The 17,677-nt window shown below is 37.6% G+C and overlaps 1 protein-coding gene across 3 annotated transcripts in view; it reads left to right on the top strand.

The window, feature by feature from the left end:
* Positions 1–17,677, top strand: part of FGF12 (fibroblast growth factor 12) — a 588,152-nt gene that overhangs the window by 137,592 nt on the left and 432,883 nt on the right. The window lies entirely within an intron of this gene.

The raw sequence follows: 17,677 nt of genomic DNA, 5'->3' as shown, positions 1-17,677 counted from the left end.
AGAGTTTCTCTCACAGGTGCTGAACAATCACTATTCTTCCCTCTTCTTTTTCCATAAAATATATTACTTGCTTGCATAGTCTTTCTCCTAAAAATTGTCATTTTCTCTGAAAAGTCCTCCTACCGTGTGACCTTAAGAAAGTGATTTGTGTCCTCCGAGCATCAGTCACTCTTTATGTAAAGTGAGGGACTAAAGGAGATTGCCAGGGGACCTTACTTCGATTAGTGTCATTCAGTGAGTTTGGGGGATTTCATCTACTTCTTGACTCCACTCTTCCTTGACTGTCCATTTCCTCCCTCCATCCCATGAATCCTATAGGGTTTCAGTGTGACTTACATAATGGGTGTTCTATATCAGACATCCTGGACTTGCTGATGAGATTTAAGCCTAGAAATAAGTTGATAGAATTTGATGAGACCTACTCATGGAGCAGGCAGTGTTTTTCCTCTTGTTAGCTAACTTTCTTTTCCATTCCAAAACATTGTGATTTGCAAGTCTTTAAGAATTTTATATCTTCTGACAATTTAGCACAACCTGCTCGTATAAAATGGTGTTATACAATCCAGTAGCAGTTGTTTTCTTTTTTTAAAAAATTTTAGGACTTTTTTTTTTTTTTGAGATGGAGTCTCACTCTGTCACCAGGCTGGAGGGCAGTGGTGCAATCTCGGCTTCCTGCAAACTTCGCCTCCTGGGTTCAAGTGATTCTCCTGCCTCAGCCTCCCGAGTAGCTGGGACTGCAGGTGCGCACCACCACACCCAGCTATTTTTTGTGTTTTTAGTAGAGATGGGGTTTCACTATGTTGGCCAGGATGGTCTCCATCTCTTGACCTTGTGATCCACCTGCCTCGGACTGCCAAAGTGCTGGGATTACAGGCGTGAGCCACCACGCCTTAAAAATAAGCTTAAAATAAGCTAATAAAGTGTGAAATTCTTGACCATGCTGATACAGTTTCTAGCGACCTCTGTCACACACATCCCTATTAGTCTCAGCACTTGAGTATTCTGTTATGGAGCTCAAGAAGTGGTCACAAATACATACAACAGGTAATAAGGTAAGATGATAATATGTTTCATTCTTTTACTCTCTAGAACAAACATTATAATTACTAATTTACCTCTCACCTAAAGAAAAATCCCAGGAATTCCAGCGTGCTTTAATGTAGTGGAAAGTGAACTCAAATAAGAAGACCTGGGTATAAATACTGTCTCCCAGTTTCTAGCTGTATAGCCTTGGTGAGTTAATTTGAGTTAATTTTCTGAGCTTTAACATCTTCATGTATAAAGTAGGAATAATAACCCTGGTATCCCAGGATGTTGCATGGATTAAAAGAGTTGATATATGTAAAATAACACTGTAAAGTCTAAAACACAAAAATTAGCATTATTATAAAATAACTTCTTTCTTGTTCCTAACATCGTTACTATTATTGTTTTAATTTTATTTAATTTTTTTATCCAGATGCTGAATTCTTTAATATGCCACTGTTTTATAAAAGAATTTCTTTCTTGTTCCTAACATCATTACTGTTTTAATTTTATTTAATTTTTTATCCAGATGCTGAATTTTTTTTTTCTTTTTTTCTTTTTTTTTTTTTTTTTTGAGACGGATTGTTGCTCTGTCGCCCAGGCTGGAGTGCAGTGGCGCGATCTCGGCTCACTGCAAGCTCCGCCTCCCGGGTTCACGCCATTCTCCTGCCTCAGCCTCCCGAGTAGCTGGGACTACAGGAGCCCGCCACCACACCCGGCTAATTTTTTGTATTTTTTTTTCAGTAGAGACGGGGTTTCACCGTGTTAGCCAGGATGGTCTCGGTCTCCTGACCTGGTTATTCACCCACCTCGGCCTCCTAAAGTGCTGCGATTACAGGCGTGAGCTGCTGCGCCCGGCCTGGATTCTTAAATATGCCCCTGTTGTTAAAAACTTCTATAAAATACAAGGAAATCATAGATGATCAAAGAAAGTCTATAGAGTGATGAAATAACTAAATTAGGTAACCAAAAGTGAAGGCAAAAATAAAAGTATTATTTGTCTTTTTCACCCATGTTTTAAGAAGGTGGTGCCCAAAGTTTTAGAATTAGAAATTCTTTTTCCTCACATTTTCAGATTTGAGAGAGATTACGTATATATGATGAGAAAGAGGGTCTCCCTGTGTCACCCAGCTGGAATACAGCGATGCAGTCATAGCTCCCTGTAACCTTGAAGTCCTGAACTCAAGCGATTCTCCTGCCTCAGCCTTTCAAGTAGCTAGGGCTACAGCTGTGTGCCACCACATCTGGCAAATTTTTAAAAAATTAAAAATACAGTGATAGGGTCTCACTATGGTGCCCAGGCTGGTCTCAAATTTCTGGGCTCCACTGATCCTCCTGCCTCAGCCTCCCAAAGTGCTGGGATTACAAACATGAACCACCATGCCCAACCTGGGAGAGTATCTTGAGTTGATTTTCGGCATGAATTTATTTCTTTGTTATTATATGTAAACATAAGGCTGACATTTAGCTGTCATGCTTGTTAAAATATTACAATATATCCATATTCTGCTGTTCAAAGACCCTCCTACTACCACCACAACCTCTGCCAGGAGTGCCCGCTCCACAGCCCAGCAATAAAGTGGGTCCACTCCTAGAATAAGTGGGGGCCTCTAGAAACTTGCTTGATCACAAGGCATTCATTCTGATTGATGACCCTGCAGAACTAACTGGTAACCGTTTTGAGTACCACTCTTACCAAGTTCTACATTGAGGATTAAGTGGCTCCATTACTACCAGAAGGTAATGTCTTTTCATTAACAGAAATGCTAGATGGAGCAGTTATGAGCAGCACTTTCCCTTCAAATGCCTTGCTGGCATTAACCTTAGAGATTTAATTCAATTCATAAATTGCTTTAAACTATAGCTTTTATATATATATATTCTGAGTAGACCCCCCGGGGTCAGTGATTCCAAAAAAGTGTAAGAATTATCATGTTAGACTCTTTCTAAAATAATACATTATTAGGTTTATAATGTAGAGACACAGGGGGAAATGTGTACAAATGGAAACCACACTAACAAGAAGTACAGTTGTCAGCAGTTTAATAGAAAGAATTTTAACAAGACTTGAATGATTTTTTTAAAGAGTAAAAATGAGTGTGGTCTAGTCTGCAGCAGGACATATGCACATTTCCAACATAAACAAATGGATCTCTATGGCGTTACCTAGACTTACATTTATATTTACTAAAGCCTCTCTACAAAAATGAGAGGATGAAATTTAGTCTTTGATACCCACTTCTGGAGGAAAATAGAGCCTTCCTTGCTGGCTTCTTCCTTGCTATCCAGTTCAGGCAAAGTTATATTGCAACATAGACTGTGTCAGAGGCAATTAAGCTCTTTCTGGAGACACTAATACCAATTTTCCAAGCACTATTTTGGAATGATTTAATTATATTAAGATCAATAACAATAGCTGATTGTATAACTACATTTACTATTTGTCAGGTACTATACTGAGTTCTTTATTTACATTCTTTCATTAAATCATTGGTAACAACCAATGAGATGGATATTATTATGGCCCATATATAGATATGGAAATTGAGGTTTAGAGAAATTAACTTGCGTAAATTTCCAGAGTTCATTAGGTAGCTCATAAGCAGGAATCCAGAGCCTTCATAAGCTCATGAGCAGAAATCCAGTGTAGGGTAATATACTGTCTGCTTCAGTATTTCATTTGTTCCAGGTCTTCAGTTTTAGGAGATGTGATTTACCTGCTTGTTACCCATGCTTGTCTCATCTGGGTTATATCCCCACCCCCCTGAAAAATCACAAGTGCACAAGAAGCAAAGACTCATACCTTTTTATTCAGTTTGTGTATGGTGGCTTTCACATGTACACTTGGTTAATTTTTATGTTTAGTAATCATTATAACAATGATTTTTTTCTTTTATGGACTATTCCCCACTTTCCAGTGTCAAGTTATTTTCTTTTGAAAAATTTTTTCAATACAATATTTTCTCTTCATATATTATTACTGCTACTACTGTATGCTTTCTTCACTAGTTCTTAGATATGTTGCTAGATTTCAACTAAATGTATGTAAACACATTCGACTAAGTATAAGTAATCATGGGGTTTCATCGGTGAAGCTAAACTCTTAGACATAATATTACATTGCTATAAATACAGTTATCCCCTTCCCCACCTCCATTCAAGACAATTGACTATTGGCCCCAGTCTTCCACCTATTGTTGTTGTTTTGCTGGTTGTGGGTGTTGAGGGGCTCGGGGAGTTCATGGATGGCAAGATAAGGCTGAGCAGGAAATGTCACGCAACCCCTCCTCAGTAAGTGGGGAGAAAAAAATTGGGTCCTGGAGTCCCCAGAGTTCTACAGGCCCAACCTCCTTGGGTCAAGCTGGTGAGATACCTACCAGCTTGTTAGGTGTCTAGAAGTTTCAGCCAATCACTGAGCCTAGAATCTCTTATGGACATTAGAGTGGGAGCAGGAAACTTGCCACCAGGTTGTGCCAAACCACAACTAAGTGTTGGATATGATCTCTACTGAGATCCCTGAAACTGCTCCCACCCCTCACTCCTGCTTACAGCTGGAAAGAGGCACAAAGATAATTTATTATATATGGTAGAACATATAAAGATTTATAGTTGAAGAGACCTGGGTTATATCCTGTTGCTTCCAAGGTTTTTGTGGAGTCTAAAATAAGACAGTGGTGAGTGCAAGCAGGCAGGAAGCACAGTGTCCAGCATTTACCAGGCACTCCATAGTATTGTTTGGACCCGACCTAGAAAGAATTGACTTGGCATGCAGTTTGTTCCTTAAATATTGAATTCACCTATGCTATTGCCACATTACTTTATTGAAAGCAGGGTAACTTTTTCTCACTTGATGTTGAATGCAGCAGAATAAACCTGTTTCCAGAATGAGAATTTTTTTATCTGAAAATAACTGAACCACATCTTGTCTTTAACCAATTCACTGGCTTCAGCAAGGCACCTAGCTAGGGCCTGGCATACACTATTGAAAAGCAGATGTCATATCCCAGAGATGTCTAGAGATGGGGATGGCATTCTTTATGGAGGGGCAGAGTTTTGTTGGCAGCTTTACAGTAATTCATCAATAGAGGAAAAGCAACATTGCATAAAAGCCCAAGAGAAGCTTGAGACCTGAGGAAATGTCTTAGCCAAGCAGAGAGAGCAGAGAAAGGAAAAAATCTTAGAAGCTGATCACAGGATAGCCTGAGGATCAGACAATACAGGGCAGCCTGGCACAATCCGGAAAGGTAGGAGACAGGAGTATCAGATTTTGTCTACAAACTCTGGTGATAAGGCCAGGGATGAAGGATAAATAAATATAGAAAATGTGGCTGACATTCTGGTATGCAACTAAAAGAGCCAAACCTCTATGTGAAATCGTCTGAAAGTATCTAGGGCAACAGTAGGCAGCACATTGAGAACCTCAAACTCTGAACCCATCGCAGTCTGCTTCAGGGATGCCTCTGACTTGAGATAAGGCCTCAGTGTATCTCTGGACCTCTCTGGGCCTCTGTTTTCCACAGGGATCGCTAATATACTAGATAAAAATTCTTATAATTATGTTATCATGATTAAAAATAAGACTGCAAATAATATTCTTAATTGGTGCAAATTTACAAGGCCGAAGAAGATCGGCATACAACAAAGAAAACGGCTATGGCTTTTCCATACTTGCAAGTATAGAGTTGTGCCCTCAGGAAATGCCCAGAGATTTCAAAGGTTAACAAAGGTATCAAAGAAACAGTAATTACTAAGGTTAATCTGCCAGTAATTATTCATCTCTTTTGCTCCTTCTGAAACAGAGCATAGGCAATATCAGAGGAAATGAAGGTGTGGGATGAAGCCAGTTCCACGTCTCTTAAATGGCTCCTTATTGAATTTAGAAATACCGGAATCATTAAACTCCATGATTCCATGGTAGATCAGCTTGATGTTCCTATGTATTTCTAAAGAAGATTATGAGCTCAGATTTTTTTTAAGTCAGCAGAACCCTATTCTTCACAACAGCTCAGCAGGCTTTGTAAAGCTAGTCAGACTGAATTTTTTTCCAGGATTTAAATTAACAGAGAAAAAGATAAAACGATCATTTCAGAAGCAGCCCTTTAAGGCCTATAAAACAAGCTAAATTGAAAGTCAGAGTTAGGAGATAGAGCCTTTGTGAAATATGTCTGTAGAGATAGAAATCTAGTTACTGATGCCTCTCCTAGACACCTGTCTGAGTGTGGAAGCACCAAGGAAACAGGTCAGATGTCAAGACTGTGACGTTGCTCTTCAATTGTAGGTAGGATGAAGTCAGGGGGTCTGAAAGTCACATTTTTTTTTCTGATCCATTTTAGAAAGATTCACATTTAGTATTCTGAAACTCAAAACTGCTTCAGTCTTTTTCTGCTATTATATGTGACTTAATATCCAAGTCTTGAGTTTTTGAAACTGTTCTTGTCAATTCAGAAGGGCTGAAAAGTACCACTAAAGCAAATCAAAGATAGGTTCACTCTCACTGCCAAAAGTATTTTTTTAGGACCGGTAACAGTATTTTCTCTAGAAAAGGAAGAACATCATATTGTGAAGATGCTTGAAAAGTATAAACTATTTTGTGCAATAATATCATTAAACGATTCGCATCGCTCATCTGATATCCTATGTACCTTCAATGTTTTCCACCCTACACTAGGCCCCATGGAGAATATAAGAGAGCACGAAGCCAGTGATATTCACCGTTGACCTGCAGAGAAAATAAAGGTGTGTGTTATTTGAGGCAGTGTATAATTAGATAGCAAACTGGATATCATTTAGCAATGCATAAAATAAAGATTTGGAAACTGGAGAAATGAATGAGAACTAAGGATCTCTTCATGGAGGAGATGTGATGTGACCTAGCTCTTGAAGAAAGGGGATGGTCTGGAAAGATTGAGGAACAGATAAAATCTCATTTAGGCCAGGCTATATGTGATGAGGGGGAAGGGAAGGAGGAACAAAATGAGCAAATTATAGAGCCAGGAATGAAAAGTGCACAGTGTGCATGTTTGTGTTGAGGCTAGGGATGTGAGGAAGGGAAACAGAGTGGGGTAGGCCTGGGGAGTACCTGCCGAGAGCTCAGGTGTGGTAGGGTCAAATGAAGCTGAGAAGCTAGGCACAGGCATTTGAACTGCCTCATTCATCTTCACCTTGATCCTGGTTCATACCCAGACCTTTATATCTATGTTCATAATGACAGTAAGATAAGGATTTTTTTTTTTCTTTTTTTTACTAGCTGTGGAAGCATTTCCTGCTCCATTTTCTAATCACCAACCACCAGGACTGAAATTCTACTTAGTTTCAAAGCTATTCAAGTCAGTTTAGCTCCTGACCCTTAGGACTGCTCTCACTTCTTACATGGCATTTGAAGTTTTCTTTTCATTTCTCTTTGTGCTGGACCAGATCTCACAGTGCTTAGTAGCTGGAAGGCTTCATCCTTGTCAAACGTCAGCCCATCCTCTTCATAACTTGCTAAACTATGTATTAAGGTAGGAAATAGTAATCCAGTAATAACAATGAGTGAACGTGATAAAGATACAAACTCTAACTTTCAGTTAGAGTTCCCCTCCTTTATAGGCTAACAACTCCCATTTATATTTATAGTATGTGCTTTGGAAGAAGATATGAAATAAAACATAAATTTTTTATGTTAACAGTCTATGGCAGATTAGCTACAATCCTAAAAATAACTTTATAGAGATTCTAAATACACAGCCACAATTATTTTTGAAAGTTTAAAACTATTTTTAAAGCTGCCATAATTTAGTAATTCTGAAATAAAATGCAAAGTGTAATGCAACGGTGAACCAGGTTAACATCTGTACAGCTATATATAGCTGCTTAATATATCAAGAGTTTGGAAAGACTCTACTTTAGTGGGCCTAGAATAATTTTATTTTCCCACAAATCCTGAACAAGTACAAGTGTTGCAGAAATATTGTCAAAGAGTAAAACATTGAGTCTATCAGGACATTTGAGTACCCTGAAGAGAGTAAGGCATTCATTGTTTTAAGCATTTTTATATGTATTTATAATCTTTTAGGTAATTAAAGATAATGATATTTTAGAGATAACTGTGCTCAGCACATTGAGTAATTAAGAATTCACCATGCCATGTAGATTTGGATGCAGGAAAAATTTGAATTACAGTGTATTTAGATAAAAAAGCCATCATGCCATTTGGGTTCTAAAGAATGGAAAAATTTGAAGTCCTCTAAAATATTTTCATTTACATTTTAGAAATCTTCAAAGTCCACAAAGAGTGATGGGAGTTGAATATTTCAATGGAAGGAAAGAGAACACTTGACCTCAATTATAGAGAGCATGACAAAGTCAAGAAATTTTAGAATCTCTAATTGTCCAGAGTTAATATTTTTGACATTTTTGCATGTATTCTTCCTGTATATATATATATATATATATATACACACACACACATATATATACATATATATATACACACACATATATATACATATATATATACACACACATATATATATATTTTAGAGAGGTGAGGTCTCATCATGTTGCTTAGGCTACAGTCTCAAACTCCTGGGCTCAAGACATCCTCCTGCCTCAGCCTCCCAAAGTTCTGGGATTACAGGCATAAGCCACTATGCCCGGCTGTATTAAGATGTGTTGAAATATATTTTAACATGCTTTGAGTCTTATAATTCTCTACATACTTTATTTATTTAGTAATAAATTGTGTTTATTGGCCCACATCATTGAAAGTCTTCTATATAATGTTTAATGATAACAATTATCTATGAAACAATGATTTCATAATTAACCATTCCCTTCTCACTGAGTATATTATGTCCAATTTTTCTCTATTATAAAAATAGAACATTTTAATAGACATTTTATGCATATCTGATTATTTCCTTCATCTCAAATTGCTGTTCAAAATGCATGGACATTTTAAGACTTTTCATATGTATTTCAAATAAATCTACTTCAAATTAAATCCTCACAACATGTATTAGTGTCATTAAAATTCTTTATTGAGGCCGGAAGTGGTGGCTCATGCCTGTAATCCAAGCACTTTGGGAGGCCGAGGCAGGCAGATTGCCTGAGATCAGGAGTTTGAAACCAGCCTGGCCAACATGGTGAAACCCTGTCTCTACTAAAATTATCTGGGCACAGTGGTGCATGCCTGTAATCCCAGCTACTCAGGAGGCTAAGGCAGGAGAATCGCTTGAACCTGGGAGGCGGAGGTTACAGAGAGCTGAGATCGGGCCACTGCACTCCAGCCTGGGTAACAGAATGAGACTCCGTCTCAAAAACAAAACAAAACAAAACAACAACAACAAAAAAATCTCTTTATTGAGAAGGATTTTTTGAAAAGCCCCACATGTGGGACATAGACCAATTTTCCTCTCAGACATAAACTATGTGGAGCTATACCTTAGGATCCCGGTATCTACATATTATGACACATTTCCTTAGCAAGCTGCTCCACAGTTCAGCGGTCACTAGATGTTTCCTAAAAAAATTATTGAGTTGGATTTCAGGGAGAGCTTGAAGCAGTTTTCATCTCTAATCATTTTTTATAAGGGATTTCATAACATTTGCAAAAAAAAAAAATAGAAATGTTGACTCCATGATAAATTCCAGTAGCTTCTTCTAATACCGCACATTGGCTGTCACCTTTATGGCCAGTGAGATAGCACACAGGAACTTGAATCACTGCATAAGATCTTGCATAAAGTGCCTCAGAAAAATAAGTAAGTATATAAGCAAATAAAGAGTAAGCTACAACGTTGTATGTCTTGGATTTCTAAAAAAAGAAAAAGGAAAGAGCAAGCACTGAATTAAAAGTCAAGAGGACCCTAGTCTGCCTCCCTCCCAGATTGTAAGTTATTTGAGGTCAGGGAGCATGGCATCTGTCATCACCATTTCTCTCTACTGCCTATGAGAATGCCCAGGAAACGGCCCTCAGTAAAAGCACGTTACCTCAATGAATGAGTGAATAGATAAAAGAAATAATGAATGAAGGAATACTGAGCTTGAGGCTCTTAGAAGAATAACATGTGGGGCCAGGTGCAGTGGCTCACACCTGTAATCTGAGCATTTGGGGAGGCCGAGATGATCGGACCACCTGAGGTCAGGAGTTCAACACCAGCCTGGGCAACATGGAGAAAACTGTCTCTATTGAAAAATACAAAAACTAGCTGGGTGTGGTGGCACACACCTGTAGTCCCAGCTACTCGGGAGGCTGAGGCAGGAAAATCACTTGAATCCCAGAGGCATTGAACCCCGGAGGCAGTGGTTGCAGTGAGCCAAGATCATGCCACTGCACTCGAACCTGGGTGACAGAGAGAGACTTCGTCTCAATAATAATGATAATAATAACATGTGGTTTACAGCAACATGGAAACAGTGCTTGTGTGTCCTGAGCTTACCTACCCTCCAGGGGATATTTTCATGGAGATACAGGAAGTGCCTACCCCAACAAATACCTCCACTCCTTGTTCAGGAATATATATGCGCAATTCAGTTTTTACTCTCTTAAATGTATCTTGAGAATGAGTTGTCTGCACAATTTCATCTTTTCTTTGTGTGTGTGTATGTATGTGTGTGTGTGTTTTAAGAATTGCTTTTCATAGTGCTGTAATCAAGTCTTGTACCTTGAGAACAGATAGAGATCTTAATTTTCTTTATTGGAAACAGGCTTATTACCAGGGTGCAAGGTAACCTTTTCCCAAATAGGAAAATGTTTCCTCAAAATGAAGACACATCATAGATGGAAATAACATTGAAACCCTGTATTTTAAAGACCATTGTCTATTTCAGAAAAACCTTAATGATGAACATTAGGTACTTGAAAAAGAACTAGTGAAAATCATTAAAAGAAAAGAGAAAAAGAAATTATAAACTTAAAGGAGTGTTGGAATGAAGATTTGGTGATAGACATTTTACAAACCAAGGCAGCGTGGGAGGTCTTCAATTGGTATTTTTAAATGTGAGCAGATGGGCTGAGCATTCTTATAGAAAGTGGATGTGTGTGTCTATGTGGTGAAAATGTAGTTCATGAAGGCTGTTCCTTTGCAGGTGGGAATAATATGAGCTACTCGCTTTGCAATAACAGGAGAACTAAAATCAAATCCGCAAATCATTTTACATATGGTGACCCAGTTCTTATTTTCTCATTAACTGTCCAGGGAGTTGTTTTTTTCTTTTCATTTGATAATTTGAGTGAAAAAGGTAATATTATCAAAAGAAATTTGAATGTCCAGCAAGTAAAGATCAGACACATCATAGCAGAAGAATATCTATTACTTGGCTCTAAAAGTACTGGGTGTCTCTGAGGTTAGGTGGGACAAAAATTAAAGACACACTTCCTACTTACAAATCTAATCTGAGAGGCAAAACTGCCATGAAATTAAGGAATAAGAGCAGTTAATAAATAAGTTTTGAATATATGCATTGTTGTTATTGTTGTTGTTTTATCTTAAAAGACAGTAAAGGGTTAAGAATGCAGACTCTGGAGCCACAAGACTTGGGTTTAAATCCTGGCTTTACTAAATATTTCCTAGCTGCGTGACCTTGGGCAAATCACTCAATCTTCCTTTACTCCAGTAAAAAGAAAGGAACAAGGAGAATAATAGTACCTATCGACAGGGAAGTTTAGGAAGACTAAATTAGTTAATATATGTAAAGTGCTTAGAGCAGTGTCTGGCACATTGTGATTGCTACATAAACAAAGTGTTTTTATTTACTATTACTTACTTGGTATTAATTTGATATTACACAGGTAACTAGAGTTTGAAATTATCTTTCAGACAAATGTACCAAAAATATTTTTTGTTGCCATAGAGAACACGATTATCTTTCATGAAGTGAATGTACAATGTTGCTATTTTAGATACCCTGCCCCCCGCCAACCATAACCCCTTTCACTAGACCTTGCTATCTCCCTGCACCTTTCTTTGGAGCCAAATATTTACCCATAGTTACTGCTTGTCATAAAAAGAGCATTTTCTTTTGTTTTGTTTGAATTGAAGCATCCTTTTAGGGCTTTATCTAACACTTCACATTAGTATTTTAAGACTTCTTGGATAAATACATGTTTATTCAACCTATAAACTACAACTCAATTCAGGCACCTGCTATTTGCCAATACTATGCATATCATTGTGAGATTAGAAAGATGAGTAAAACAGTTATTATTCAGGAGAGTAAAGTACAGTGGTATTCAGATATTCAAATATATAATGACAAATTATTTTATGAACCTCAATCATATCACTTTAGTCTTAAGGGATCTCTATTTAAGATTCCTAAATTTTAGTGAATTCCTCTATGCCATATGGCAGAGTTTCCTCTTCCTTTGTTCTCTGTCCCAGCTTTTTTCTAAGTCTGTTCTGGTTTCATCTCTCCAACACTGCCAAAATGCACATAGCATTCCAGGTAAAGTTGGCAGGATCATGTTTCCACTTTGTTACATATACCCTTTGTGAGTGTTTTGCTGCTGGAACCGAGTACATACAAAGGGCCAAATATTTAGAAGATAAGCACAATGACTCTCAGAACCATTTGTTCATTTAAAAAAAGATTCTATTTCTTGCACTAAGGACAATATGCTCACAGTTCAAAAGTAGAAAAGTATAGAAAAGAATAAACAAACACAAAATCGTTTATTGTCTCACCACCAGAAAGAGCATGGCTACCATTAGTATTATTTATTTATTTATTTTTTATTACACTTTAAGTTCTGGGATACATGTGCAGAATGTGCAGGTTTGTTACATAGGTATACACGTGCCATTGTGGTTTGCTGCACCCATTAACCCATCATCTACATTAGGTATTTCTCCTAATGCTATCCCTCCCCTAGTCCCCCACCCGCCGACAGGCCCTGGTGTGTGATGTTCCCTCCCTGTGTCCCGGTGTTCTCATTGTTCAATTCCCACTTATGAGTGAGACATACAGTGTTTGGTACTCTGTTCTTGTGTTAGTTTGCCAAGAATGATGGTTACCAGCTTCATCCCCTGTCCCTGCAAAGAACATGAACTCGTCCTTTTTTATGGCTGCATAGTATTCCATGGTGTCTATGTGTCACATTTTCTTTGTCCAGTCTATCACTGATGGGCATTTGGGTTGGTTCCAAGTCTTTGCTATTGTGAATAGTGCCGCAATAAACATGATGATTTATTTTTCTGCCCTCCCCTGCCACCTAGCAGATTTGGGACTAAACTGTTGTTCTTTCTCTGCCTTTCAAACTTAATATTAAAATATGAGCATTTTTTTTCCATACCATCAAGTATTCTTAAATAATGTATCTGATGGATTTAATTATCATTTATTTAATCATTCTCTTAGTATAAGGAGAGGCCATAGCATGCAGGTAAGACATTGACCTGATTTCCCCTCAGTACCTTTCTAAGACATTACTCTTTACTTTAAGTCACACAATACTTCCTTTTCTTACCTCCTTTTCCAATCAAACTTTCTTCTTAAACATTTCAGTGTTATGGAAAATGTGCAAGATTTAGAGTCAGTTGTTCTAAAACTAGCTTGCGTGGTATTTGGCAAGTTACTTTATCTGACTTACCTTCAGCTCTCTCATCTGTGTGATTGGGTAACATTCCCTGCCTTTGTTACAACATGGTTGCTGTGCGGATGAAATCATATGGTGAATATGAAATTGTTTTACATATTATAAAGTGAGAGATGGTTCTTTCCCTGTGCTGTACTTTTCTAACCCAAAGGCAACATTCATTATTTTTCTTCGTTTGTAAGCAGAAAAAAAAGGGCTGCATAAATGTGCTGGAAAAGACATCATTCAATTGCCTGACCTCCCAAAGGATTTGTTAATGTTTAACCCCAACTCACCCTTTCCCCTCAGTGACCTGATTTATCTGATGATTTAAAACAAAGGTTATTTGGATGGTGAAATTACAATTCTAAAATTTTCATTGCAAGTAAAAAATCTATTGGTGAAAGAAAACCTTAGTTATTTTTTTCAAGTACCTTTTTCATATTTATCATAGAATATAACCTTATAGTAGTAACAATATCAACATAATAATTACAATGTATTAACTATTCATAAAGTGGCAGCTAGGTGCTACATATATCAGTTTAAAGCTTCTCAACACCCTACAGATTATTTGTTGGGGTGAAAAGTTTATCAATAGGCCAGAGTCATTTAGAGAAGAGATCCAGAATAGATCTTTAAAAAAAAATCAGTCTGAATTAGAAAGAAACTAGGCTTAAGAGGGACCAAAACCTAAATGCAAAAAAAAAGCATTAGCAAACCCTACTGGCTAAGTGGTACCAAAAGAAGGAAAAGGAAAAACAAAGAAAGGACTTCAATATGGAAGCCCTAGTGGGAGGCAGAGAACAGGAGACTTTCCTCCTCCTCCTCCTCTTCCTCCTCTTTCTTCTCCTCCTCCTCCTCTTCCTCCTCCATGTTGCTGTGTTAGCCCTTCTTCCACTGCACTGTGGCTATTAGCGAAGTTAATGTCCTTTATTCCAAACTGAAGTACATTAGGACAGGGCCAATGCCAATGCTTTGATCACCATTTTTACTTGATTTTTTATAGCTCTATTGAGGTTTAATTGACAGATTACAACAAACTGTGCACAATTAAAATGTACAATTTGACAAATTTTGACATGAAACTATTACCATGATAAAATTAATGAATATAACAATTGCATCCCCAGAGTTTCATTGTACGTGTTTGAACTCTTTCTCTCTTTGCCTCCTCTCCATCCTTAGGCAATCACTACTTGTTTTCCATCATAATTGATTAGTTTGTCTCTTCTAGGCTTACTTCACTCCATGTAATTATTTGAGATTTTAAAGCATGTTATATATAATAATAGTTCACCTCTTGTTATTGCTTAGTTGTATTCCATTGTATGGATATACCATAGTCTGTTTATCCATTTATCTGTTCATGGATGTGTACATTATCCATTATTGCATAAAAGATTATCCCAAAACTCAGTGGCTTAAAATAACTATTCATTATCTCACAGTTTCTGTGGGCCAGACATTTGGGAGCGGCTTAGCTGGGTGGCTCTGGTTCAGGGTCTCTCATGAGATTGCTGTTAAGCAGGTGACCACTTCTGCATGTGCAGTTACCTGAAAGTTTGACTGGGCTGGAGGAGTCACTTCCAAAGATGCATTTTTATCTACTGTCTCAATTATTGTACCTAGTACACAGTAGTATTCAACAAATATGTGTTGCTAGAGTAGGTTAAGCTTTGATTATGGAGGTTCTTAAATTTTAGGCTAAGCATTTGAACATTTGCCCTCATCCCCCCTAAGCAATGGAGAATCATTGCAGGGGTTTGAATGGGGAATGCTATGATAACCTATGTTTTGGAAGTCTGGTTTCATTGACAGGAGGTGGCCCATTTTTGAGTAGGACGACATGAACTATCCAATTGTGCAGTGCTACTTAGAGATTCAGAGGTTTATTTTCTTGATTTGATCTTTAAGCAAAAGTTTATATGGTAAAGGGTCAGAAGCATAGCCCCTCCTGCAGAGCAGACATAGTGGATTTTCATGAAGCTCCAACTACACTTTTTAAAAATTCTTGCATCTTAAAGACATGCTAAGAATTGAGGCTTCATTATATAGCAGGCTTTACAGATCTGCTAATAATTGCTGTATGGTACAGATAGGACATTTTTCTCCTCTGAGGCTTTGTTTCTCCATATCCAAAATAAACAATATTGACTAGCTAACTTCTGCACTCCTTTTAAGTTTTAGGATATGTACTATGAGAAGTAGATTATTAATTGCAGAAAAGTCAGTAAAATACAAGAGTCCTGTATGTGATCCCTTCCCAAAGCAGCATCTAGCTTTATAGCTCAACGATAATGTTTAATCTGGACAGGAAAGACACTATACTTCACTCCCATGATCCTCTGTTAGGGAATGGCTGGGCAGAGGCCCTTGCTTCAAGGGCACCTTAGGGTAAAAGAGGCTGGGAAAGGAGAAAACTGGGTTAAACCTATTATTGAACTTTTGTTCCTAACTTAAATGAAGACTAAATGACACTTGCTGAACATGTAAGAGGAAGGGCATGGATAAGATGGCAATTAAATGTTGCTGACACACCAGCAGTGTTGACATTTTAAAACTCAGACCGCTTTTGAAATGTCTTCTTGCTCTGTTTGTTTCTTATACCCAAATTTGGTTGGGTTTTATTTTTTCTAATAAGTATCGTAAAATAGGTATTATGTTAGTCAGGGGTCTCTGGAGAATTGGAACCAATAGGAGATTTTTATTTATTTATTTATTTATTATAAGAAATTGGCTCATGTGATTATTGAGGCTGGTCCACTGTCTGCAGAGCCAGTGTCCCAGTTTAAGTCCGAAGGCTAGTAGGCTGCTGTAGAACCAGGAAGAGTTGATGCTCCAGTTCAAAGGCCTTCAGGTAGGAATTTCTGTCTTAATCAGGGGAGAGTTAACTTTTTGTTCTACTCAGGCCTTCAACTGATTGGATGAGGCCCACCCACCATTACAGAGGTCAATTTGCTTTACTCACTCTACTGATTTAAATGTTAATCTCATCCAAAAACAACGTTGCAGGAATACTTAGAATAATATTTGAACATATATCTGGACACTCTTTGGCTGGTCAAGTTGACACATAAAATTGACCATCACAGGTATATTGACTATCCTTTTTTTTTTTTAAGCTCCACAAGGCACCAACCATCCCCTTTCCAAGATTATTTTTAAGGCCAGTTCAGAAGTAGGTTCCATAAGCACTGAGAACCCCTATCCTACAGGAAGAGAACAACTTTCCAAAATAACCTTTCCTAGTTCTGACCACTGAATATAGAATGAGACTCTTTAGTATAAAGTTTTGCTCATTACTTCTGTCCTTTGCTTTCCCAAGTATAAAAGAAAATACCTTTTCCGAATGCCATTTCTTCATTCCTAGAGTCATGTCATCACCCTTCTTCCCTCATTTTCTCTCTCCCTTTTTCTAACATTTACTAAATATTTATTTTATATAAAGTAATTCTAACGGTTGGAAAAACTATGAGGATGACCATGAAATGGCTCCTATTTCTCATTGTAGGCTTTTAAAATGTTCTATACATTGCCATTGTGATGACAGTGAGTCCCCTGCATTTTAAATTGTACATAAAAACAGAATTCTTGGTGTAAATTGTGAATGGGTCACTGTGTGCTTTATAGCTCTGATTAAAATAGTTTAGTATGTAATTTCTAAAAATAGTCTAAGGGGTAAACTTTTAGCATTGTTACTGTGTATTTGGCCCCAGTGAGTGGTATTTGTCTGTGCATAAAACTGTGCATATTTAAGTCCTTGGGTTCAAATTAAAGGGCTAAAATACTATACATGCCACCTTTGCATTCCTTTGAGTTTTGTTTGTTTTGTTCTGTTTGTGTCACTACAAAACTTATGTTGCCCTTATATAGCACATTTTTCCTTATTGTGTCCTTTTGATTAATTTTAATGACCATTTGTTCTCTTTTAAATCACCTGCCTGCTCATCAGTATCATTAAAGGACAAAAGGTAAATGGAGCTTGACGCTGTGCATGATCATGTGAATTTTCCCCTTGCTACAAGAGTTCTTCAAATGGGCCCAAGGAAGATCAACTGGGCGCTCAAGGAATAAATCATTAAATGCTAA

The sequence above is a fragment of the Homo sapiens genome, chromosome 3, assembly GCF_000001405.40.
Source record: "Homo sapiens chromosome 3, GRCh38.p14 Primary Assembly".
Lineage (NCBI taxonomy): Eukaryota > Metazoa > Chordata > Mammalia > Primates > Hominidae > Homo > Homo sapiens.
The sequence above is the reverse complement of the archived record's forward strand: the minus strand, read 5'-3'. Positions and strand labels throughout refer to the sequence as shown.